The 27,263-nt window shown below is 38.7% G+C and overlaps 1 protein-coding gene and 1 pseudogene across 25 annotated transcripts in view; one reads left to right on the plus strand and one right to left on the minus strand.

Moving 5' to 3' along the window:
• The window catches only part of AKAP7 (A-kinase anchoring protein 7), a 157,906-nt gene that overhangs the window by 47,029 nt on the left and 83,614 nt on the right, over window positions 1-27,263 (plus strand). For 21 of the 25 annotated variants that reach the window (NR_164833.1, NR_164832.1, NR_164834.1 and 18 more), the window contains one exon: window positions 26,806-26,918. The exons of 1 other annotated variant lie outside the window; for it this stretch is intronic. Coding sequence is in view for 17 of the 24 variants with exons in the window: in XM_017011509.2 (XP_016866998.1) it covers window positions 26,806-26,918 (113 nt within the window). In the remaining 7 variants the exon portion in view is untranslated. Of the gene's footprint in view, window positions 1-11,346; window positions 11,444-11,717; window positions 11,979-26,805; window positions 26,919-27,263 lie in introns of those variants that run through there. 3 more of the 25 variants (NR_170717.1, XR_001743754.3, XR_001743755.3) reach the window with 3 other exon arrangements.
• On the minus strand, window positions 11,473-12,851 carry LOC100421246 (double PHD fingers 2 pseudogene; annotated as a pseudogene).

Below are 27,263 nucleotides of genomic sequence, written 5' to 3' on the forward strand. Positions count from 1 at the left end.
AGCGTCTATTCCTCTCACTGAGAAATACATTTCTAGACTAAGCCAGACCATCAAAAAAATTGTATAGGTACTTAGACAAAATCATGTAAAACTTTGTAGAATTGATATTACAGAATTGCTTTTACTATAATTCTTTTGGCATTATTTGATGATTTTCTAAGAAACAGGTTTATGGAAATTCTCTGTGTTTATTTTAAGTATTACAAATGTTGATTATATCTTGTTAAATAACATGAGTTGATTAGAAAAAATTCTTTTTGGCTGGGTGCGGCGGCTCATGCCAGTAATCCCAGCACTTTGGGAGGCCGAGGTGGGCAGATCGTGAGGTCAGGAGTGGCCAGTACTGGAGACCAGCCTGGCCAATATGGTGAAACCCCGTCTCTATTAAAAATACAAAAAATTAGCAGGGTGTGATGGGACCTGTAGTCCCAGCTACTCAAGAGGCCGAGGCAGGAGAATCACTTGAACCCGGGAGGCGGAGGTTGCAGTGAGCCGAGATCGTGCCACTGCACTCCAGCCTAGGTGACAGAGCGAGACTCCATCTCAAAAAAAAAAAAAAAAGAAAAAAGAAAAAATTCTTTTTAATTTTAATATCAGGACTATTTCTCTTGAACATGTTGTTTTTTACCTAATGAATGTTGAACATTTAACTTGTGTCTTTGGGTTAGAATTGGTTACTTGAACACTTAGAATCCAGTTTATTGCATACTTCAATTTAGAATATAGGACATAATGCTATTCTTTTTGTGCACTTACCTCATACCTGGCTTCATGTTATCTTTCCAGTTTTAGTTTCTGTTTGTCTCATTTTCTTTATTTTAAATTTACTTATTATAGTGTATACTTCTTTGGAGTTATCTTAAATCCTATTTTTAGGGATAGGGTGAAGCAAAACATGTAAGCAAGCATGCAAACAAATAAGCAATATTTACAAGTCAAGGAGTACTTAAAATCATTAGTAGGCCAATGAGAAGGCAACTCTAATTGTTCTGAGGGCAAATCATCTGGGACCAATGCCCACAGTTAATCTTTTCTTCCTGGGCAAATCATTTGGGACTGATAGTCCACAGTTAAACTTAATCTTTTCTTCTTGGCTGCTCTGGAAAAAATGCTAGACTTAGAGCTTTTCTTTGGTAATATAAATATCTCTGCACTCAAGAAACATTTCTAATTACTCATTCATTCATTGTTCTTTTAAATAATTCACTGGGTGCTTGCAACATTGAGAATTCCATCCATTCTTTGCAAATATTCTCACAAAGGCATTTTCCAATATTGATGAAAGATCCATTGTGTGCTGAGGAATGTGAAGTATCACCAGCTTTAATATGAATATAAGCCCGAAGATGTTGGTTTGTTGTTACTGCTCCTGTAATTCCTTTCTTGATTCCAGAGGTATTAGGTACTGTTGATTAAAAATACTTATGTTTTTCAAAAGTTTCAACAAAACATTATAAAAAATAGAAGCTGGAGGGAGAACAACATTCTTTTCCCCTCATACAATCACTGTTATACTTGCTTTTAATCTTTTATGTGTGTATTGTACTATTGTTTTTATTATAATTTTTATGCACTTTTATAAGGAACCTAAATATTTGAATATACATGGAAAACTTTATTCACTTACTGAAGCAACATGTATTTATTAATTATTGGGGACTTACTGTGTCAGGCATTGAAGTTTAGATATAGCCTCTATTTACATAGTGTTCAGATATTCAGAATGTTCAGCACATGGGATTTTTGTCAATATTTTACTTCTTTAGATATATTTTTAAAAGAATGCCTCAGGCTGGGCACACTGGCTTGCGCCGATAATCCCAGCCACTCAGCAGACTGAGGTAGGAGGATCACTTGAGCTCAGGGCCTGGAGGTTACAGTGAGCCATGATTGTGCCACTACACTCTAGCCTGGGCAATGGAGTGAGACCCCATCTCAAAAAAAGAATGCCTTAGGATTAGTGCCACTTTAACCCAACAGTATCAGTAAAATGATTTAATATTTGTTTTTGTACCATATTTTATAAGCTGTTTGTTCAAATGATATATTCTAACTCTCAGAAGAATATATTCCATTGACCAAAGTTTCTTAAAACTTTGTAATAAATTGTATGTATATGCCTACACAGGAATATTAAAATTTTGTTCATTCAAAATAATGGAGACAGAGCTAGACTGACTTACTGTAAAGCAGGATAATTTGTAAAGAAAGTAATTCTAGTTGACCTTTGAACAATGTGGGGATTGGTGCCCAGAACCCTGCGTAGTCAGAATTCCCCATGTAACTTTCGACTCCTCCAGAAGTTTACTACTAATAGTCTACTATTGACTGAAAGCCTTATTGATAACATAAACAATTGATTAACACATATTGTATATGTTACATGTATTATTAATATATACTATATTCTTACGATAAATAATTTAGAGAAAAGAAGATGCTATTAAGAGAATCCTAAGAAAGAGAATACATGTTTGCTGTTGATTAAGTGGAAGTGGATGATCATAAAGGTTTTCAACCTCATCATTTTCACATTGAGTGGACTGAGGAAGAGGAGGAGTGAGTCTTGCTGTCTTAGGGGTGGCAGAGGCACAAGAGGTGGAGGTGGAAGTGGGGAGGCAGGAGGGGCAGGCACACGTGTGTAACTTCTGTTGAAAAATATCCATATATAAGTGGACCTGCTTAGTTCAAACCTGTGTTGTTCAAAGTTTGAGTCTGATTTACCTAATTTTCATGGAGAGAGTTTTTAGATTTACAAGTTAAAAAAATAAATTCTTAAAGTGTTACATAGTTCTTAGGAAAAAAGGAACCAATTTCAGACACTACTCTTTGTACTCATTACTAAATATTGGCAGGATAAAGAGTCATTTAGAATTTTTAATGTGTAAAATTGAAGAAAATTATTGGACATTTTGAACTAGTAAAGTCTAAATTGATGAGCTTTTACCATTAATGGGGGTCAGGATATGCTACTCCATAATATTTTAAGCTAAAGGAATTTGAGAAAACAGCAGAAGTAGGAAAGTCACTCTCTGCCCTCCTGCCCTTCCCTGAAGGAGGTCATAAGACCCACATTTGAGATATGCGCTCTCTATGCCTGGAGGAATGGAACATCCTCCTTTCTGAGGACACCGGGTCACAGAGGAGAAGCTGAGTCAGTAGGCCTTGCTAAGTTTCCCCCAGTTTATTGCCATTAGATCATACTTTTTAATTCAATTGTACTTCTCCACAACTATCCACTTCTTCATCAAACATAGCATAAAAATACACAGGTTTACATGTTTATTTGGGTCATTATTTTCTTATAAAAGGTCCCATGTCTCATAAAACTTCTATTAAATAAATTGGTATGCTTGTCTCTTGTTAATCTGTCTTTTTTATGGAGTTGTCTATAACAATGAATATAGGATGGGTGAGAAAAAGATATTTCTTTTTTCCTACACCATTAAAATTATGCTGTTACTAACAGTTATTTTTGGTACCTGCTGGTGGGCTAAAGAGACCAAGCCCTTCTTTGCATCACATGTACATGTGGGCTTATGGTGGTAGCCACTTGAGGGAGCAGGTAAGGTGTATGGCATCAGAGGCTGTGTCTCAGCTTCCTAGCTTGACCTTGAGTGATCCTGTGTGTTTTTTTTTTTTCCAGAATAAAACAGCACCTTCTTTCCTAGAATTACCCAGTAGCTGATAGAATTAAGAAGATATTGAAAATTTTGCATTTATATGGCATGTTCCCACATTTTATAATGAATGATGAAATTGCATTGAAAAGCTTTTTGCATAGAAATGGATATGTGATTTCATTCATTTTTTCAGCCATATATAATTTTAAGCTTGCGAGACTGAGAGATTGCTAAAAATTTAGCCCACTAGAATTATAATAGTTCTTGCAAAACTTTTTTTTTTAAATAGAAAAGTGCCCTTGGTTAGCATGATAAAAGATTCTAAGTACATTTATCTCATACAAGAAAAAATGAAAGGTTTTTAGAATGTTCATTTGAACATTATGCTTTCTTTCATTTTGACTGTCATTTCCCCCAAAAGATGGAGAGACTACATTCCGTGTTTTCTGCTCCTTGTGAAGAATCTGTTCAGTTTCTGGTATCTTTAGGCCCTTCTAGGGTGCTCTATTACTACATGAAGTCTTGGATTTCTGACCACCACAGGCTGGTGGGTGTCCCAGCAGCCTGCTAACCGTTCCCCTAATGGCTTGGGCTACGCTTTCTTCAGAAACGTAAAAATAACTTAGCCACACTTCACTTAGAAGACCAGCTTGTCTTCTTAACTAGGATGGCTGCATTCACAGACCTGCACCATTGAGGCCATTAGAGCCTTAGTTTTATACCCTGCCTCTGTTTGCATATGCCTCCAAGCACACTTCATCCTTCCTCTCCTTTCTCATCTCTCTCTTAATCCTTTTTATTCTCACCTCTTTTATTTACTTGATTTTCAATCAAACACTTTCTAAATGGACTGACTTTGTACCAGGCATTATTCTAATTATCTTATTAAATATCAATTTCATCCTGACAAACCTATGAGGTATGGGCTGTCTTCGTTCATTTTGTGTTGCTATAACAGAATACTTGAGGCTGGGTAATTTATGAAGGAAAGACGTTTATTGAGCTCACAATTTTGCAGGCTGGGAAGTTCAAGAGCATAGCACTGCACTGGCTGGCTCCCGGTGAGAACCACATGCTGGGTCAAAACATGGCAGAGAAGTGGAAAAGTGAGTGGGTGCATGCAAAGAGATCACTTGCCGATAGAGGAAGCAAGTGAGAATCTAGGAAGCCTAATTCACTTTTATGAGAGCGTACTCTTTAGTAACTAATCCAGTCCCATGAAAGTGAGAACATACTCCTGATGTAAGGCATTCATCTATTTATGAGGGATCCACCCCTGTGACCCAAACACCTCCCACAAGGCTCCATCTCCAGCACAACCATGTTAGGAATCAAATTTCAACATGAGTTTTGGTGGGGAAAAACCACATCCAAACAGTAGGAAGACCATTGTCATCACTCCCATTTGGCAGGGAAACTGAGGCACAAAGAAGTTAAGTAATTTGTTAGTGAGTAGTGGAACCAGGACTCAAATCCAACCAGTCTGATTCCAAATTCTGTGCTCTTAATTACTATGCTATTCTGTTACATTGTAAATTAGCAACCGGACTCCCTAAACATTTTCCAGGAACACCTCTTCTTGCCTTAGCTGAAACTCGGCTCTTACCTGATTGAAATCACAGCTTCCTCTAGGTGAAGGCTGCTCATTTCACCCAATCCCAAATTCCACAGGACCCAGAGGTATCATCCACATTCTCTTAGTTTTCTGTTGCTTTGTCCCTGTTATATCCTCACGCAAAGGTCTTTCCTTATTGGTGGTTCATGTTACCTGGTTTTGTTAACTTCTGCCTCTCTTTTTGCTGTCATCTGAATATTTCCTCTCCTATTTTGAGGATTTTGTTTCATAGCTCACATTGCAATGCTTGCGTCCTTCAGTAGCACGAGCACAATCTGTCCAGCCATCCTGGCACAAAGTGAGCTTTGGAGTCAGTCAGAACCATTTGCATTCCTGTGCAGCCTGTTACCAGCTGAGTGGTTTTAAGCAATTTACTTCACCTCCCAATCCTTCAGTTTCTTTATTTGTGCAATGGGCATAATAGTAACCGTTCTGAAAATAAAGTGAGATAATCTATACGAAGTGCTTAGCACAGTATTGGGCACGCAGACAATGTTAAATAGATGGTAACTATTATTATTAATGATAAATACTCCATTCCCACTACTGCCATCACAGCTGTTGCTTTTCTTAAAATCCCTTGACTTCTTTGACGTTAGCATCCTACACCCATACACCACTCTGCCATTCATAAGCATATTTCTGAGACCTTAAACTTAGTTATAGCTATCACGACAACTTCCCATTCTAGTTGCCATTTACTTCGTTTCCACTACTGCTAATGCTCCGGAACCTCACCCAGGCTTGGCCTCTTTCAAGGCAGCATGGATGTATTCATTCTTAAAGTAGACAAGGCCTCAAGGTATGCCATTCTCTTGGTGGCTCTTTCAGTTGTCCTATCTCCTTCTGTTTGACCTGTCTGGGAAACACCGATGGCAGATCCAATCCAGTCATTTGCTTTTTTGCGCCAACACCTGGGCAAAATAAAATCCACCCTCCTTGCTGTAGCCCACAATATCCTCCATGTTCTGGTCCACTGCCTATATCTCCTGCCTTATCGTGGTCCTCTCTCCCTGCCCACTGTGCCCCACTTGAACTTGCTTCTTACAGGTACTGGACTCAACAGAGTCTTTTCTGCCATAGATCTTCTGAAAATGCCTGAGTGTTCCTTCTGCTTAGACCTTTTCATTCTTAGGATCTCAAATGTCACCACTTCAGAGAGTCCCTGCCCACTGTGAGTAGAGTATTTTTATAAGTAAGCTCTCTATCACTGTACCCAGTGGGATGCCCTCATAGGTCTCATCACAGGTTGTGATTACCTTATTGTCTATTCGGTTTTTTTTTTGTTTGTTTGTTTTGAGATGGAGTCTCGCCCTGTTGCCCAGGCTGGAGTGCAGTTGCACAATCTTGGCTCACCACAACTTCTGCCTCCTGGGTTCAAGTGATTCTCCTGTCTCAGCCTCCCGAGTAGCTGGGATTACAGGTGCCTGCCACCACACCCAGCTAAGTTTTGTGTTTATAGTAGAGACGGAGTTTCTCCATGTTGGCCAGGCTGGTCTCAAACTCCTGACCTCAAGTGATCTGCCTGCCTGGGCCTCCCAAAGTGCTGAGATTACAGGCGTGAGCCACCGTGCCTGGCCCGTTATTGTCTATTTGATTGACTATCTTTGTGGCTAGATTAGGCTCCACGAGGGCCAGGACCATGACTGTTTTGGTCACTAGTGTATACCCAGTACTGTCTATAATGTGTGACACATAAAACGCGTTAAGGCTCACATAATCCCAGCACTCTGGGGGCCTGAGGAGGGAAGATTGCTTGAGCTCAGCGGTTTAAGACCAGCCTAGGCAACATAGTGAGACTTTGTTTCTACAAAAGATAGAAAAAAATTACCTTGGCATGATGGTGCATGCCTTGATTCCAGCTACTTAGATGGCTGAGGTGGAAGGATTGCTTGAGTCTGGGAGGGCGAGGCTGCAGCGAGCTGTGAATATGCCACCATACTCCAGCCTGGGTGACAGAAAAAGACCCTGTCTCAAATAAATAAATAAATAAATAAATAAATAATAAATAAATAAATAAGTTGTTAATAAGTATTCATCAAAAGAATGAGAAAATGAAGAAATCACACAGTCATGTAGGTTGGCTCTCCTGCAAATGTATGTTTTCCACACTCAGAGCCTTGGCTCGGCAGGTCCACTGCTTCTGCTCAGTTTTCCTCATGTCTGCTGTTGCTGCCCCAGCCCCCTGTTTGGAGCAACTATAACCTTCTACCCCTCTCTCAGCAGATGGCACTGAGGCTGGGATCTGCTCACTTCAAGTCCCTGTGCTTGGTGAACCTATCTGCTACTGCATTTGGCTTTTAAATTCTCATACAGTTTTGGGAAAAGAGGTGTCCTTTATCTAGTTAAGACTAACCCCTTCAGCTGTGTTCTTGGTCTGCTGGACTCAACCAGGATCTTGCTGTACCAGTTACTTCTTCCCTCTCTGTGCTTCTGTGTTTTCAACCCTTTGTCTTTATTACCTCCTTTCCCCCAACTTTACTTGCTCAATAACACCTTTCCTATCCCTAAACAAACAAAAAACAAAGTTAAAAAATCCTAAGAATTAGCTACAGAAAAATCTCTTGATCTTGAATCTCCTGCTAGCTTCTTCATTGTACCTTTCCTACTCAGAATCTTTAAAAGAGTTGCCTGTATTCTCTGTACCTTTCCTACCTAGAATCTTTAAAATTTAAAAATCTTCATTGTACCTTTCCTATCCAGAATCTTTAAAAGAGTTGCCTGCATTATCTGTCTTTAGTTCATTACTGTCCTTTTCTCAAACCTCCTGCGGTCAGTAGGCTATGGCCTACTTCACTGCATGCCACATCGTGGGCCCCTGATAGCTTTGTAATTGCTGAATCTAACGAATGCTCTAGATTTATTCATACAACTGAGGACTCCCTTCTTTAAATTCTCCTTTTGGTTTCTGAGACACCACTTTCTTTTTTTGTTTGTTTTGTTTTTTTTTTTTTTAATACTTCTCTCAATGTATCTTCTCAGCTTTCTTCATTAGCTTATCTCTTTTTTCTTTAAGCATTTATATTTTTAGATTTCTGGACCTGACTCTCTGTTTAACTATGTTTCTCTTTTTTTTGAAATGGAGTCTCACTCTGTTGCCTAGGCTGGAGTGCAGTGGCACTGTCTCAGCCTCCTGGGTTCAAGCAATTCTCCTGCCTCAGCCTCCTGAGTAGCTGGGATTACAGGCGCCTGCCACCATGCCTGGCTAATTTTTGTATTTTTAGTAGAGACAGGGTTTCACCATGTTGGCCAGGCTGGTATCAAACTCCTGACCTCAGGTGATCTGCCTGCCTCGGCCTCCCAAAATGCTGGGATTACAGGTGTGAGCCACCGCGCCTGGCCCCATGTTTCACTTTTTGTATTTACCATCATGGTCAATCTCCCTACTCTTCCACCAGGAACATCAAGAAATGTAGGTGTCATCCTAAACCCCAGCATCAGTCATTTTAGATATTCATAGTCATCAAATGCTGTAAATTTTCTGTCTTAAATATCACTCCCATTCGTTCCCTACTTTCTGTTCCTATTGCTGTGCCTCAGTCCAAGCTCTGTTCATCTTTCACCCATTCTACTGCAATAGTCTCCTGGTCTACAGTCTGCCGCTTTGCTTCCAGACTCTTTTTCTAAAGCACAAAACTAAGCATTTTTATGCTCCCTGCTTAAAAGAATTTATTGACTTACTGTTGGATCTAGGATAAAATCTATTCTTCTTGCTGTGTCATTTAAGATTCTCAGCTTCTTGATTCTTGCCTGTGTATTTAGCCTTATTTCTTGTGTTGTCCATGCTGCACCCATTGTTTAAGATATGCTGAACTACTTAGAGGTCCCCTGAGGCACTGGGCCATGTCATGTCTTCATGCCTTAGTTGACGCTGCTGCCATCCCATGGAAACTTTTACATTCTTCACATGATCAGACAACAGCCACTGATCTTTTTTATTTAAAAAAAAAATTAGTTTTGGCTGGACATGCTGTAATCCTAGTACTTTGGAAGGCTGAGGCGGGTAGATCACTTGAGGTTAGGAGTTTGAAACCAGCCTGGCCAACATAGTGAAACTCCATCTCTACTAAAAATACAAAAACATTAGCCAGGCATGGTGGTGGGTACCTGTGATCTCACCTGCTCAGGAGGCTGAGGCAGGGGAATCGCATGAACCCAAGAGGCAGCGGTTGTAGTGAGCTGAGATGGCACCAATGTACTCCAGCCTGGGTGACAGAGCAAGAGTCCGTCTGAAAAAAAAAATAATTTTTAACTATAGTAAAATACATATAATATGAAATTTACCATCTTAACTTTTTTTAAACACATAGTTCAGTAGTGTTAAGTATATTCACATTATTGTGCAACCAATCTACGGAATCTTTTTATTCTTGCAAAATGGAAACTCCATACCCATGAAAAACAAATCCTCACTCCCTCCTTCCCCTGGCTTCTGGCGACCACCATTCTACTTTCTGTCTCTATGAATTTGACTGTGTAGCTGCCTCATAGAAGTGAAATCATGTAGTATTTATCTTTTTGTGACTGGCTGATTTCACTTAACATAACGTCCTTAAGGTTCATCCATGCTGTATCATGTCAGAACTTTATTCCTTTTTAATGCTTTATAATATTCCGTGGTATATGTACATACCACATTTTGCTTATCTTGTTATCTGTTGATGGGTTTGTTGATGGACTCTTGGCTATTGTGAATAATGCAGCTATGAACATGGATGTATAAATATCTCTTCAAGACCTTGAGTTCAGATCTTTTGGATATGTAACCAGAAGTGGAATTGCTAAATCATATGGTAGTTTAATTTTTAATTTTTTGAGGAACTGTCTTAATGTTTTCTATAGCAGCTGGACTATTTTACATTCCCACCAGCAGTGTACTAGGGCTCCAACACTTGTTATTTTCTATTTTTTTGATAATGGCCCTTTTTTTTTAACCCAAATTTTGTATTGATCAAAACAGCTTCATCGTTCTTTATAACAAAGAATTGTTGTAAACTTGAATTTATGTAACTAATTAAAACTAGCAAAATAACCAATTTTATATTCGCTTTACATATTGGAGTTCAACAAAAAAAATTTAATTTTGGGGGAAAAAAAGCTGTATTTCAAAATGTTTAAAAAAACCACCGTCATGGAAATCTTAGGATGAAAAGGCCTTCTTAATGGAGAGAGGCAGGAGATAAACCATCCAGCAGAGGGCTCTGTGTAAAAACGTTTATGTTTACTGATGTTTAGAATACAGGAACTAACGAAAGGAAAAAAAAGACAACTTCAAAGTGACAGTGAGTTAGGGCCTGCCTGCGGCCAAGGGGGAAGGCTACTCCAGGGTATGCTGGCATGCACTGGCCCCCCACTACTTAATGTCAGTGCCACTAAGCAGAAAACTTGAGGAATCAGAGTGTGAAGACCTTACCAGCTGCTAGCGAGCATGCAGGGGAAGAAAGGGATGTCTGTGTGGCTTCCCCATGAGCTGAGAGCCAGGATACACAGGGCAGGTGGCAAGGCTCCCAATTCAGTTCAGGGCAGGAGGCTGAATGCCCAGGTCCAGGAAGAACAAAAAGGGGATTTTGGAGGTAGGCTTTTTTGTTGTGTTAAAAAAACAGGCACATTACCCATCTCCCTGTGGCCCTTGAGCTGCTGGCCTGGCCCCCTGATCCTTCCCCTCTCCCCACAAAACCAAAATGAATAAGAAGAGAGGTAGAAGATGAGACATTCCAAGGGTGGGGAATGCTTTAGTCACTGGAGCCCGCCCATGAGAGTGAGCCTGGAGAGCACTGGGAAGCACAAGGTGAAGCTGCTGCTCCCCCTGGGGTGGGGTGGACTGGGACAGGGCAGAGCCAGGAGGGTGACCGAGAACATCCTGACTCCAGCAAAGAATCCTACGTAGCAGGAACAGAGGGCTGCAGAGAGCCACTCTGGAGGAAGGAGGTGAGGCTAAGTGACACAGGGGCATGGAAAGCTCCTTGTGGCTGTGGCCTCAGCTGCTCGCTACCAGCTGCCTTGGGCAGAGGCTCTGGCCTGGCTCGCCTCTGGGGGATGGGAAAACTCTGGAGACCAGAGTGGAGGCAGAACAGAGAGAGAAGTGAGCTGCTCTCCCACTCTTTCTAGGAGGACACTGTTTGAACCCTGTGATGACCAGGGCCTGGGCCCAAGGCAAGCAGAATGAATGCATTTCATGGAGAGCAGAGAGAAACTGGGCCCACAGGTATGCCTTGGGGCAGTGTGTTGCTCCTTTCTCCTTGAGGGCCTAGGGCCAGAGGTGGCCAGAGCTGCCACATCAGCTTGTGGCTGCCAAAGGCAGGCTAGAACAACCACCCCAAGGTTCTCTGGACTTGTGAAGGAGAGGAGGAGGAAGGGAAAGGTGGGTATGAAAAATGAAGTGGAGGAGAGAAACAGCCTTAGATATGTCGGGGAGCAGGGGGGTGGCTATATCAAGAGGAGTTCTTGTTCTGGTAGATGGAAGCTTTCTCCTTCAACAGGTCCAGACACAGGTGGCACCTCCAACTTCCTTCAGGGGGCTCAGATATGGACGGAGTGAGACAGTACATTTCGTAGCCATGATCGCAGCATCACAAAAGCCCAGCTGGTCATCATCTTCAGAGGTGCCGCAGATATCGCAACATTTGTGCTCGATGCATTGCCAGCAGTATGTCTTCACTGCCCCATCATCATGGGGGTGAAATGGAGGCAAGATGGATGCCCTGAGCAGCCACAGTCGAAACAGGACACCACCTCCTCAGGTTGTCCCATCTTCTTGTTAATCTTTGAGTTCCCCAGGCAGAAGTTACAGTAGTTGTTGGGCAAGGCAAATCCATCAGGACCCTTTTTGGATTTCTGTTCCTCAGACCTCTGGGAAACAGGAGTGGGTGGTTGGGAGTCTTCTTTGTCCTCGCCCTCCTCAGCCAAGTGAGAGTGGGCATAGTGGTAACTGAGGCCTGGTCGGTTCTTGTAACGTTTTCCACAAATGTCACAGGCATAGGGCTTATCCTGGTCCTCCAGGTTGGAAGCATCCAGCTCCTTATGGGCACTGCCACACCTTTACCCTTGGATTACCCCTTTCCCCGATGCTTGGGAGCATCTTCACAGTACTCATCATCGAGGTCATCCAGGAAGTCATCTGGTTCTAGGATCCGCTTTCGTGCTTGACTGTTTGTCACAGGAAACTTGCCCAGGCTGTCATCATCAACTCGGGGATCTGGGGTACCTCGCTTCCCCAGGGGGTCAGTGTGCAACAGAACCTCTAAACTGCTGCTGTCCTGAGAGATCAGCCCCTCCTTCTTCAGGGTGGGGTCTGTGTCTGGCTTAATAGGTGGGAAGAAAAATTGTGGATCTTCACAGGGGTGGGCTCACCGCTTTTTCCGCCAGTGCTGGGCAGGGTACGAGTAGTTGTCCAGAGGCCAATCCTAGAACCTGGTTACTTCTTCATCCAGCTGTAATAATTGTTCTGGGCTACTCCAGTCTGTGAGGCCAAGAAAGGCAGGCACATGCTGTGCTCAGCACAGAGGTGGGCATTGTAATTGTGGCCCTGCTCCATGGCATCTTTGTAGTACTGCTCCCAAGGAACTTCATTGCATTCACCACCACAGGTGCCATTTTCCTTGCTTCTCTCCCTCCAGTAATGGCCATTCTAATGGGTATGAGGTGGTATTTCATTTGTGGTTTTGATTTGCAATTCCTTGATGATTAGTGATGTTGAACATCTTTTCCTGTGCTTTTTGCCGTTTGTGTTTCTTCTACGGAGAAATCCTATTCAAGCCTTTTGCCCATTTTTAAACCAAGTTGTCTTTTGTTGTTGATTTGAAGGAGTTCTTTAAATTCTGAATGTTAATCTCTTATCAGATATACGATTTGCAAATATTTCTCCCACTCCATAGGTGGCCTTTTCATTCTATTATATCCTATGATGCACAAAAGTTTTAAATTTTTATGTAGTCCAATTTATCTGTTTTTACTTTTGTTGCCTGTGCTTTGGTGTCACACTCAAGAAATCATTGCCAAATCTAATGTCTTGAACCTTTCCCTCTATGTTTTTTCTTAAGAGTCTTATAATTTTAACTCTTATGTTTAGATCTTTGATCCATTTCGAGTTAATTTTTGTATATGGTGTAAGGTGTAAGGGACTAACTTCATTCTTTTGCATGTGGATATCCAGTTTTCCTAGCACCATTTGTTGAAAGACTGCTGATGTAGTTTGTATGTTATCCCTTCTCAAATTGTATGTTGAAATGTAATCCCCAGTGTTGGAGGTGGGGCCTTGTGGGAGGTGATTGGATCATCATCCTCTTGGTACCATCCTCATGCTAGTGAGTGAGTTCTTGTGAGATCTGGTCATTTAAAAGTGTGTGGGACCTTCCCCTCTCTCTCTTATTCCTGCTCCCACCCTGTGAGATGCCCGCTCCCCTGTGCCTTCTGCCATGGATTGTAAGCTTCCTGAGGCCTCCCCAGAAGGAGATGCTGGCATTATGCTTCCTGTACAGCCTGCAGAACTGTGAGCCAATTAAAGTCTCTTTTCTTATAAGTTATCCAGTCTCAGGTATTTTTTTTTTAAATAGCAATGCAGAAATGGCGTAATACAACTGTCTTTTCTCATTGAATGATCTTGGCACAGTTGTTGAAACCATTTGACCTTCCTGCTGTTATAACAAAATTCCTGGACTGGGTAATTTATAAACAACAGAAATTTATTCATCACAGTTTTGGAAATGGGAAGTTCAAGATCAGGTCACCAGAAGATTTAGTGTTTGGAGAGGGCTCTCTGCTTCACAGATGACACCTTGCTACTGCATCCTCACCTAGTGGAAGGGGAGAACACTGTATCCTCACATGGTGGAGGGGCAAAAGGGACAAAGACAAAAGACAAAAGTGATTTAGGACCCCAAAATCTCTTTTAAGGACAGTAATCCCATTAATGAAGGCAGACCTCTTGTGACCTAATCAGCTCCCAAAGGCCCCACCTCTTAATACCTTTACCTTGGGGATTAGGTCTCAACGTAAGAATTTTGGAGGGACACAAACATTCAGACCATAGCAACCATATATGTGAGGGTTTATTTTTGAGCTTTCTATTCTATTTCATTAGCCTATATATTTGTCTTTATGCATATATTACACCGTCTTGATTACTGTAGATTTGTAGTAACTTTTGAAATCAGAAGTGTAAAATCTCTAACTTTGATCTTCTTTATCAAGATTGTTTTGCTATTCAGAGATCCTTGAGGTTCAATATGAATTTTAGGATGGATTTTTTTTAAATTTCTGCAGAAAATACCATTGGGATTTTGATAGGGTTACATTAAATCATTAGATTGCTTTGAGCAGTATTGGCATTTTAACAATATGTTGTCCTTCGGTTCATTAAAACAGGCAGGATGTCTTTTCATTTATTTGTATTTTCTTTAATTTCTTTTAGCAATGTTTCATAGTTTTCAGAATATGCATCTTTCACCTCCTTGGTTAAGTTTATTCCTAAGTATTTTAAAATTTTTGTATTCCTAATTATTTTATAATTTTATTTATAATGTTGATGCAATTGTTTTCTTAATTTCCTTTCACATTGTATCACTGACCTTTCATAGAGACTTATTTCAAGTGTCACTTTAAAAATAAAGGCCTTTTTTCTCCAAAGTAGAAATGATCATTTTATCCTCTTATCCCCTATATCTCTACTGTAGAAACTATAACAAGTTAGTGTAATTGTTTAGAAATCTAACTTTCCCAACCAGAATTGAAAGGTCTTTGAGGGAATCTTCCGTCTTTGTGTCCTCAATTCCTGCCACATAGTAGAGATTCAATAAATATATTTTAATACATAAAGCAATGAAAAAAAAGTGTGATGTACACATAAAAGTTTACTTGAAAGAACATTTAACTTTAGGTAGTCTCTCTTCCCTCATTTACATTTGTGTCTAAATCTTTGCATGAAAATTAAACCCAGTCCTGGTGTTCTAGAATCCCCTAAGGGTGATGTACCAGAACTCTCTCTGGCAGTTCACTTGGATTTGCTGGTTGTTAGGATAAGAAGGGACCTGAGAGACAATTTATTATGGTCTCATCACTTTTACTATCAGTGTTAAGTGATGTGTCTAGGAGCACAAACTAAATAATGGGAGAACTGGGTTGGAGTTAGAAGGCTCAGTCTGGTTCTCTTTATCAACTGTGGTAGAATGAGTAGAATTCCTCTGGCATCAAGATGTATTTTAAAGATGTGCTTTTAAGAATGACACTTAAAAATTCTACTTGTCAGTTTTACACAGTAATCAACTGGAAATATCTATTTAAGATGAGGACTATAAAATTTTTAAATTGAAGTTGGTTTCAGCATTATGTCAGCCTTTATATTGAAACATAGTTCAAGTGACTTGCTAAGACTGTCTAAAATGGAACTGTTTAAGCAGTATGTGGATACAGGAATGCTTTAAATGTTAATAGTAATATTATAGGAACAACAAAAACAGCTTTATGGCTTTTATTTCTTTAAAGTTTCAGGTGACGAAAAGTGATTTTAAAATTTTATTGAGATTTTTCGTATTATATGTGACACAATTTTAGCATAACTTACAATAGTAGTAGAAAGTATCTTGCAATTGGAAGACATGGAAAATACTCATGCTTGCTATTGTTTAATTACACATTAGTTTTGTTGTTGTTGTTGTTTTGTTTTTTAAGACCGTGTATCACTCTGTCACCCAGGCTAGAGTACAGTGGTGTCATCACAGCTCACTGCAGCCTTGACCTCCCTGGGCTTAGGTGAGCTTCCCATTTCATCCTCCTGAGTAGCTGGGACTACAGGCATAGGCCATCACACCTGGCTGATTTTTGTACTTCTTTTTTTTTTTTTTTTGTAGAGACAGGGTTTCACCATGTTGCCCAGGCTGGTCTCAAATTCCTGGGCTCAGGCAATTCTCCCTCCTTGGCCTCCCAGAGTACTGGGATTATAGGCATGAGCCACCTCGCCTAGCCCCAAATCAAAAATTGAACTTGCCATTTTTGTGACATCCACATACTGAAATAATATATAGAGATACTTGACTTATGGTGCAGTTACATCTTAATAAACCTATTGTAACTTGAAAATGAATTGAATACATTTAACCTACCTGAAAATATAGCTTAGTCTAGCCTACCTTGAATGTGCCCACAACACTTAACATTAACCTATAGCTGGGCAAAAAAATCATCTGGCAACACAACACACTATAGAGTGTTTGTTGTTACCCTTGTGATCCTGTGACTGGCTGGGAGCAGCTCGCTGCTGCTTTCTGGCATTGAGAGAGAATATCATACTGCATATTGCTATCTGGGAAAAGACCAAAATTCAAAATTTACAAGTACAGTTTCTACTGAACACATGTTGCTTTTGCACAATTGTAAAATCAAACAATCATAAATTGAACCTTTGTAGTTTGAGGATTATCTGTATAAGTTTAGTAATATAATGAACTTAATTCCTTTTAGCATTCTAGACTATTCTTATTAATAAACCTCTTTTTGATTATTCTCAAATTGGAGATCATGTGATCGTATAAACATCTTTAACAATATTAGAGAAAGGGAGAAAATAGCAAAAGCTTGGAAAGAAGGGGTAAATATTTATCTTGCAAAAAGGGTATATAAGTAGAAACATGACTTTGTTAAAATTGATCTGTTACAGTTTACTTTGAGACAACTTTTAACAACTTCTTTGCATTTTAAGATTATTATGTAAATTTATTGCTGCTACATATTTTAAAGAGTTCACCTAAAGAAAATCTCCTATAGAAAAAAATATGTAAAGCCTAAAAAACAGATAAAGCTGTATTTGTTAGGGTTACAAATGTGTTGTTTCTCTATTAAATTGTTTATTTCAGTATTCTTTTATATAGCAAAGTGTCCTTGTATGTAAATATATTTTTAAGTAGTTGTTCTTCAGACAATTTTCATCTTCAGTTATAAGTTATATTATTTAGGAGGCACCCTTACCTGACTTTTTGAAGGATATCTGATGTATGTGTTTTGTGATTTTTGGTTTAGTGCTTGAAGGAATGCCTGTGGTACTGGGAGGAATTAAGCAATCTCAATTATTCATAAGCTTCTCTTCCAGGACTTCCAACTTCTGTGTAAGTTGTTAACACAGATGAAAAATGACATGTAGGTTTCATATTAGTAAAAACTTTTCTCATCCCAAATATGACATTGCTCGAACCATTACCTAATACCCTAAGCAATAGATTATACTACTGTTAGGAATATAAAATCAGTATTAAGAAGTACTTTTCAAAAAGAAGGCATTTTCTTTTTCCCCACTTCTATGTACCTATGGACTATATTGAAAAAGCACATTAATAAAAATCAAAAGTTCTTTGTGACAAATATTATTTAAAACAGTATTGTGAATAAATATCATAAAATACTTCAGACCTAGTGAATAATGAGAGCTGTTGGGTCAAAATCTGAGGTAACTGAAATCAATAAATTGAAAAGTGTTGGCTGGGCGCGGTGGCTCATGACTGTAATCCCAGCACTTTGGTTGGGAAGCCAAGGCGGGCAGATCACTTGAGGCCAGGAGTGCAAGATCAGATTGGCCAACATGACAAAACCCATAACTACTAAAAATACAAAAATTAGCCAGGCATGGTGGTGCGTGCCTGTAATCCCAGCTACTCAAGTGGCTGAGGCACAAGTATTGCTTTAACTTGGGAGGTGGTGGAGGTTGCAGTGAGCTGAGATTGTACCATTGCAATACAGCCTGGGTGACGGAGCGAGATTCTGTCTTGAAAAAAAAAAAAGGAAAAAAAGAGAAAAATGTTTTCTTTAGACTCAGTTGATTTAAGATTGTTATAGCAAATAAGATAATAAATAAACATTAGGTAGTAAAGAACAGTACAAATGCCCACTGTTTTAATTTTCTGTTAACAGAAGTCCATTTCTTATATCCATCAAATTTTTTGATAAATTCAAAAATTCAAATTTGATTTTTTTGATGTTGATTGGGAAGTCCTTCTTCTTCTTGTGCTGAAATCTGTCCCATGAGACTGTAACCTCCCAGGAGACCAAAATAACTTTTAGAGTCTCTTTTGTGCAGCCTTCAGCAGATACTGTGCTTGGCACATACAGGGAGTGCTCAGTAGGTAACTGAATAAATGAATTTGTGCTTCCACACCTTTATGCTGTTTGTTTTCTGGGTTGATACAAACGTGTTGCTAAATTGCTATTGGAAGCTCCTATATGGGACAATTCTGCAAATATTCGAAGACTTGGAAATTATGCTCTAATCAGTCAAATCTTAGGAACATAGTAAGTTAGTCCATCATGACATATGTAAAACCATAAGACATCGCTAATATTTGACTGTTTTTGACCCATAAAAGTGACAGTTTTGTATGATTCAGCCTAATATTTCAACATGAGGTTCTTTTAAAACAGTTGTGAATATGCCAAAATAGAGAGGGTCAAAGTTGGGTTATGACAGGGTAGTTGAGAAAAGAGAAGTTTTGGTAATTTATATGAACTCTAAGTTGATAAGTTAATTACAACGATAATTGTTAGGAATACACTCTCACTGTTTCATAACATGCTTATGCTGGACTTGTCTTTCTTTTTTTTTGGCTACCCAGCATCTAAATTTTTTATACCAATCTCTTGTGTTAGTTACATTCTTTCATAGACTTCCTTGCTGCTAGGGAAGGAAAATATGATCTTGGTCTGATGCAGACTTTGAATCAGAAGCTAGCAACTTGAAGAAGAAAAGGACCATGCAGAATTCATCCTTGGGATAGGTGTGTCATCAGTGACAGCTACTACCAGTCCAAGGCCAGTGGGAACAGTTTTGGCCCTTTGTGTGCTGTCTGTGGTTTGGCACCTAATGCTCACTGGGGTGCTGGTACTGGACCTGGGCTCCACCAGCACTTTGGACAGTGCCTGTCTCCTTGGCTTCATGGCCTTTCAGCCTGCCTGGTCCTCTGGTCCTCGTGGTGTTTTTTTTTTTTTTTTTGAGACTTGGTCAACTCTGTCACCCAGCTTAGCCTCCCAAGTAGCTGGGGCTACAGGTGCGCACCACCATGCCTGGCTAATTTTCATATCTTTTTGTAGAGACGGGGTCTATCCATGTTGCCCAGGCTGGTCTCAAACTCCTGAGCTCAAGCAATTTGCCCACCTCAGCCTCCCAAAGTGCTGGGATTGCAGATGTGAGCCACCATGCCCAGCCAGAAGCTTTTAAGCTTGGTGTAATCTCATTTATTTATTTTTGCTTTGGTTCCCTGTGCTTGTGAGATATAACTCAAGAAATCTTTGCCCAGACCAATGCCCTGGAGAGTTTCTCCACTGTTTTCTTGTAGTAGTTTCATAGTTTGAGGTCTAGATTTAAGTCTTTAATCCATTTTGATTTGATTTTTGTATGTGGTGAGAGATAGGTGTCTAGTTTCATTCTTCTGCATGTGGATACCCAGTTTTCCCAGCCCATTTATTGAAAAAGCTGTCTTTTCTGCATTGTATGCTCTTGGCACCTTTGTTGAAAATGAATTCACTGTAGATATATTGATTTGTTTCTGGGTTCTCTATTCTGCTCCATTGATCTATATGTCTGTTTTTATGCCAGTGCCATGCTGTTTTTGTTACTATAGCCCTGTAGTATAATTTGAAGTTAAGTAATATGATTCCTCCAGCTTTGTTCTCTCAGGATAATTTTGGCTGTTCCGGGTCTTTTGTGATTCCATGTGAATTTTAGGATTGTTTTTTCTATTTCTGTGAAGAATGTCGTTGGAATTTTGATAGGGATTGCATGGAATCTGTAGATTGCTTTGGGTAGTTTGGACATTTTAACAACATTGATTCTTCCAATCCATGAACATGGAATATCTTTACATTTTTTTTGGTGCTGTCTTCAATTTATCTAATCAGTGTTTTATAGAGTTCATTGTAGAAATTTTTTGCTTCTTTGGTTAAATCCTAGGTGTTTAATTTTGTTTGTGACTGTTGTAAGTAGGATTACTTTTTGGATTTCTTTTTCAGGTTGTTCACTATTGTCATATAGAAATGCTACTGACTTTTGTATGTTGATTTCGTATTCTGCAACTTTACTGAATTTTTTTCACCAGTTCTAATAGTTTTTGGTGGAGTCTTTGGGTTTTTAAAAAATGTAAGATCATATCATCTGCAAACAAGGATAATTTGACTTCTTCTTTTTCAGTTTGAATGCCCTTTATTTCTTCTGTTGTCTGATTGCTCTAGCTAGGACTTCTATTGTGTTGAATAACAGTGGTGAAAGTGGGTATCCTTGTTATGTTCCAGATGTTAAGAGGAAAGGCTTTCAGTTTTTCCTTATTCAGTATGATACGAGATGTGGATCTATTGTATATAGCTTTTATTATGTTGAAGTATGTTCCTTCTATACACAGTTCTTTGAGTTTTTTATGAAGGGATGTTGAATGTTATCAGATGCTTTTTCAGAATCAATTGAAATGATCATATGGTTTTTGTTCTTCATTCTGTTGATATGATGTATCACATTGATTTATTTGTATATATTGAACCATCCTTGCATCCCTGAAATAAATCTCATTTGGTCATGATAAATGATCTTTTTAGTGTATTGTTGAATTCAGTGATTTTTGCATCAATGTTTATCATAGATATTGGCCTGTAGTTTTCTTTCTTTGATGTGTCTTTGTCTGGTTTTGATATCAGGGTAATACTGGTCTTGTAGAATGAGTTTGGAAGTATTCCCTCCCCTCTATTTTTTGGAGTAGTTTCAATAGGATTGGTATTAGTTCTTTAAATGTTTGGTAGAATTCAGCAGTGAAGACATCAGGTCCCAAGCTTTTCATTGCTGGGAGATGTTTTATTATGACGTTTATCTCATTTGTTATTGGTCTGTTCAGGTTTTGGATTTCTTCATGGTTCAATCTTCATAGATTGTATGTGTCTAGGAATTTATTTGTGTCCCCTAGATTTTCCAATTTATTGTCATATAGTTACTCGTAGCAGCCACTAATGATCCTTTGAATTTCTGTGGCATCAGTTGTAATGTCTCATTTATCAGCTCTTATTTTATATATTTGGTTCTTCTATCTTTGTTCTTAGTCTGGCTAAAGGTTTGTCAATTTTGCTTATCTTTTCAAAAAAACAGCTTTTCATTTTGTTGATTTTTTTGTATTTTGTTTCAGTTTCATTTATTTCTGCTCTGATATTTATTATCTCTTCTACTAATTTTGGGTTGGGTTTGCTCTTGCTTTTCTAGTTCTTTAGAATGCATCATTAGGTTATCTATTTAAAAGTTTTGCTTTTTTTTGATGTAGGCACTTAAAACAATAAAATTCCCTCTTAGCATGGCTTTTGCTCTATCCCATGGATTTTGTTGGTATGTTGTAGCTCTATCATCATTTGTTTCAATAATTTTTTCAGTTTTCTTTTTAATTGGCCCATTGATTATTCAGGAGCATATTATTTAATTTCCATGTATTTGTATAGTTCCCCAAATTCCTCTTATTATTGACTTGTAGTTTTCTTCCACTGTGGGCAGAGAAGATGCTTGATATTAATTTTAGTTTTTTGAATGTTTTAAGACTTTTTTTGTGATCTAACATATGGTCTATTCTTGAGAAGGATTCATGTGAGGAAAAGAATGTGTATTCTGCAGCCATTGGATGAAACATTCTGTAAATATCTATTAGGTCCATTTGGTCTATAGTGCAGATTAAGTCTGAGGTTTCGTTTTTGAATTTCTGTCTGGAAGGTATGTCCAGTGCTGAAAGTGGGGTGTTGAAGTATCCAGGAAGTATGCAGCTATTATTGTATTGGAGTCTCTCCCTTTAGCTCTAAAAATATTTCCTTTGTATATCTGGGTACTCCAATGTTGGGTGTAAATATGTTTACAATTGTTATTTCTGTTGCTGAATTGATCCCTAAATCATTATACAATGACCTTCTTTGCCTCTTCTTACAGTTTTTGTCTTGAAATGTATTTTCTCTGATAGAATCATATGCACTCCTGCTCTGTTTTGGTTCCCATTGGCATGGGATTTCTTTTTTCTATCCTTTTTTTCCCAGTCTGTGTGCATCTTTATAGGTGAAGTGTGTTTCTTGCAGGCAACAGATTATTGAATCTTGTCTTTTTAAATCCATTGAGCCACTCTGTGTCTTTTTATTGGAGAGTTTAGTCTGTTTACATTCAATGTTATTATTGATAAGGACTTCTTCTTGCCATTTGTTATTTGTTTTCTGTTTGTTTTGTGGTCCTCTCCTCCTCCTTTCTTCTTGCCTTTTTTTTAGTGAGGGTGATTTTCTTTGGTGGTATAACTTAATTTCTCAGTTTTTATTTTTTGTGTATCAATTGTATATTTTTTGCTTTGAGGTTACCCTGAGGATTGCAAATATTATAACTCATTATTTTAAAGTGATGACAACTTAACCCTGATTGAATAAACAAACAAGCAAAAAGAAAACTAATAAAAACTTTACACCTTAACTTTGTCTTCTCACTTGTTAACTTTTTGTTGTTCTCTTTATGTCTTATAGAACTATGTCTTGAAGAGTTGTGGTAGTTATTATTTTGATTGGTTCATTGTTTAATATTTCTTCCTAAGATAGGACTAATCTATACACCACCGTTACAGTGTTACAATAGTACATATTTTTCTTTGTGCCTATTATTTCTAGTGAGTTTTGTACCTTCAGATGATTTCTTATTGCTCATTAATGTCCTTTTCTTTCAGATTTTCAGATTGAAAAACTCTCTTTAGCATTTCTTATAGAACAGGTCTGGTGTTGGTAAAATCCCTCAGCTTTTGTTTCTCTGGGCAAGTCTTTATTTCTCTTTCATGTTTGAAGGCTATTTTTATCAGATATACTATGCTAGGGTAAAAGATTTTTTTCCTTCAGCATCTTAAATATGTCATGATATTCTCTCCTGGCCTATAAAGTTTCCTCTGAAAAGTCTGCTGCCAGACATATTGGAGCTCCAGTGTATGTTATTTGCTTCTTTTTACTTGCTGCTTTTAGGATCCTTTCTTTATTCTTGACCTTTGGGCGTTTGATTATTAAATGCCTTTAGGTAGTCTTCTTTGAATTAAATCTGCATGGTGTTCTATAACCTTCTTGTACTTGAATATTGACGTCTTTCTCCAGGTTTGGGAAATTCTCTGATATTATCCCTTTGAATAAACTTTCTACCCCTACCGCTTTCTCTCCCTTTTTTTAAGGCCAATAACTCTGAGATTTGTCCCTTTGAGACTATCTTCTAGGTCTTGTAGGTGGGCTTCATTGTTTTATATTCTTTTTTCTTTTGTCTCCTCTGACTGCGTATTTTCAAATAGCCTGTCCTCAAGCTTACTAATTCTTTCTTCTGCCTGTTTGGCCCTGTTATTAAGAGATTCTAATGCATTCTTCAGCATGTCAGTTGCTTTTTTTTTTTTTTTTGAGACGGAGTCTCACTCTGTCACTCAGGCAGGAGTGCAATGGTGCAATCTCAGCTCACTGCAACCTCCGCCTCCCAGGTTTAAGCGATTTTCCTTCCTCTGCCTCCTGAATAGCTGGGATTACAGGCACGCCATCACACCTGGCTAATTTTTGTATTTTTAATAGAGACGAGGTTTCACCATGTTGGCCAGGCTGGTCTCGAACTTCTGACCTCAGGTGATCCTCCCACCTCAGCCTCCCAAAGTGTTGGGATTACAGGCATGAGACACCGTGCTCAGCCTGCATTTTTCAACTCTAGAATTTCTGCTTGATTCTTTTTAATTATTTCAATATCTTTGTTAAATTTATCTGATAAAATTCTGAGTTCTTCCTATGTTCCAGTTTTCTTGTCTTTAGAATTGGCTTAATAGTATTAGCCCTACCTGTTTTTGGATAAAAAGACCACATGAAAATTTATTTACCCTTGATCTTTAAAAAATATGAATTTTTCACATGTATGCCAAATGATTCTGTCCTCCTCTTTGTGCATTCTAATTTGATGCTTGTGAAATCATAGCAATGTTATATTGTTAATGTATAGTGCATTTGTTATTGTGCTTATTTTATGTTTTAATTTTTTTATTCAAAAGTAATATATGCTCATTTTAACAATTCTATCCATATATATGTATTATATTTATAACTCTGGTCTCCTCTATTTAATTTCAACCCACATCCCAAAGTATTCTATACTATTTTTCCATGTTAGTAAAAACATATAGATCATCTATTTTCTTTCTCTCTTTTATATTCCAGAGAATCATATTATAGATGTAATAACCATGTAAGTTCTCTCTTTTTGCTTAATGGATCATGGCCATCTTCTCATGTCTGTGTGTGTAATTCTAATTAATTTTATTATCTTCATGGTGGTCATATGGTTATTTATCAACCATTTATTTATTGATGAAGGTTGTTTCCAGTTTGTGCAACTTCAGGAAATGCTTTAATAAATATCTTTTCATAGAATTTCGTATACTGATGCTTTTATTTCTTCGTATTTTCCTAGAATTGGAATTGCTGGCTCAAAATGCTTGTATAGCCTAAATTTTAATAGTTGCTACCCAGATTATTTTCCATTGTAGTTGTGGCAGTTCTTATTCTGCAACACCATTATTTCTTCATATATTTTCTCTAACTCCATCTCTTTCCCCCTTGTTCAGGAACTTCAGTTACAGACATATTAGACAACTCGAAGTTGCCCCACAGCTTACTGATATTCTATTCTCTGTTCTTTTTTCTTTATGTTTTCTTTTTCTTAGTGTGTTTTATTTTGGCTTCTATTGCATTGTTTTCAAATTTACCAATATTTTGCTCTGCTGTGTCTCACCTGTTATTTCCATCCAGTTAATTTTTCTCAGACATTGCAGTTTCCATCTGTATATAAATTTGATTTGGATTTGGATTTAATAGTTTCCATGTCTCTACTTGTTGGGGTGATCAGACTCAACACCAGGCCGTGGGGGCTACGAAGTCCGGTGGAGTCAAAGGAATGAGAAAAGACAAGTTAAGAGAGAAAGTAGGACCAGGGGACCAACGCTAGTATGGAGGCTGTGAAGGCCCCGAGCTGTGGGAGCCCACACTATTTATTGGTGATCAGACAAAGAAACAGGTGGTGAGGATGTGGAGGTTGAAAGGAAGTGGTGTATCAAGCGAATGAGTTACAGCTGTGATGGTTTAGCATTTTCTTTGAAACATATGACTACTTGAGATAATGGGAGTGCTAGAAGCAAGGAGCCAGCAAGTCTGGACATATTCCAAAGGCCACGAGGGGTTTTAGACCCTGGACCCCGGACATGTTCCAAGACTCTTTTACATTATGTCAGACATGCAAGCCCTGCCTCAGCTTCTCTCCTAACACTCAGCTTTTCTCCCAACATCTACTTGACATTTTGAACATAGGACATACAGTTACAATAACTATTTTGATGTCCTATCTACTAATTCTAACCTCTATGTCAGTTCTGAGTAACTTTTGATTAATTGATTTATCTTTTCAAAAATGAGGGCCATATTGACCAGTTAGTTTGCACACCTAGTAGTTTTTGATTAGATGCCAGGCATTGTGAAGTTTACCTTGTTGGATGCTGAATTGTTTTGTATTTCTATAAATATCCTTGGGCATTGTTCTGGTACACAATTAAGTTACTTGGAAATAGTTTTTTGTTTGTTTTTTTGTTTGTTTTGGGCCTTGCTTCTAAGATTTCCTAGGTGGTACTAAAAGAGTACCAGTCCAGAGTTAATTATTCCCCACTACTGAGGCAAGACTGTTCTTTTTACCTAATGTCTCATGAATCTTGGGGTTTTCCAGTCTGGCTAATGGAACAGTATTCCTGGGCTCCATCTGGGTTTCTCCTACTTATAGAAGGCCTTGGACACTCAAGGATATAAGCTGGGACAATCAAAGGGCTCACCTTTTCTTGTTAAAGTACTAGACACTCTTCCCTCTAATCCTTTTGAATGTGTTTTTCCCCAGCCTCTGGTAGTTTCCTTGCACACATGCACTGATCAGGACTCAGCAGAATATTCTAGGGGAACCCTTTGAAGAGCTCTGGAATTTTCTTGGTACAAGTCTTACTTCTCAAGTATTCTGTCCCTTTCAGCTCCTTTGCCTCAATCCAGGAAAGGGCTGGACTCTATCTGTTTCATCTCCTTACACAAGACCTTGGGCATTCAAAGATGTAAGCTGGAATAATCAAAGGGCTTACCTTGTTCGTTTCTCATTGCTCAGGGAAGGTTTCTGCTACTTCATCTTGGAAGCAGAAGTTTGAGATATGAAGGGTTTCAGATAAGCTAGTCCTTTTTTATACTCAGGGAAACCACTGGAATGTTCTGTGAAAATCAGCATCATGTCAGCCCAGCAGTTATTCTGTTTATTAGATATCCCTTTCAAATTATTGCTTTTGTGTGCTTTACCACAGGTGTGAAATCACTGGACATTTAACTGTCATATAGCATTTGTTATCATACACATTGTAGATTTTTTCTCTCTTTTAAAGAAAATATCTGAAGCAGGTGTATAAAGTAATCTTCACTGTAAAATAATTAGTGATTGTTTGAACTGGTATTTTTTTTTACAGTTAAAAAGAACTGAAAATACTGTAGTAGCATTTCTTTGTTTCTCTTTATTTTCTTCAGAGACTGCAAATAGGACATTTCAAGAAAAAGGCATCCTGGTAGGAGAGAGCAGAAGTTTTAAACCTCATTTGACCTTCATGAAGTTGTCAAAATCACCGTGGCTCCGTAAGAATGTGAGTGCATGTTCTTATTGCAAGCCTGTTTTACCAGGCCACACCAGCCATAAGCATGGTCTGGAGCACGAGTGACATTGCTGTGGTCTCTGACACTACTCTTGCTTCTGGGTTTCCAAGTCAGGTTGGTTCCAATTCCCAGGGGTGCTGAGGATGCTCCTGGCCTTCCATGGAGGCTATTTCAGCTTTGCCTGCCTTTGCCACGATGGCTGTTCTTGCATAGTCTGGCCATCATTTATTTCTACCACTGTTGCCTCACCTGCTTCATCCCCTGAAGAGCCTCGAGGTGGTGCCAGAGTTCACTTTTGCTGCTATTCTTGCTTGTGGTTATTTGCATCCTGTTGC

The sequence above is a fragment of the Homo sapiens genome, chromosome 6 (assembly GCF_000001405.40).
Source record: "Homo sapiens chromosome 6, GRCh38.p14 Primary Assembly".
In the NCBI taxonomy this organism is placed as follows: Eukaryota; Metazoa; Chordata; class Mammalia; order Primates; family Hominidae; genus Homo; species Homo sapiens.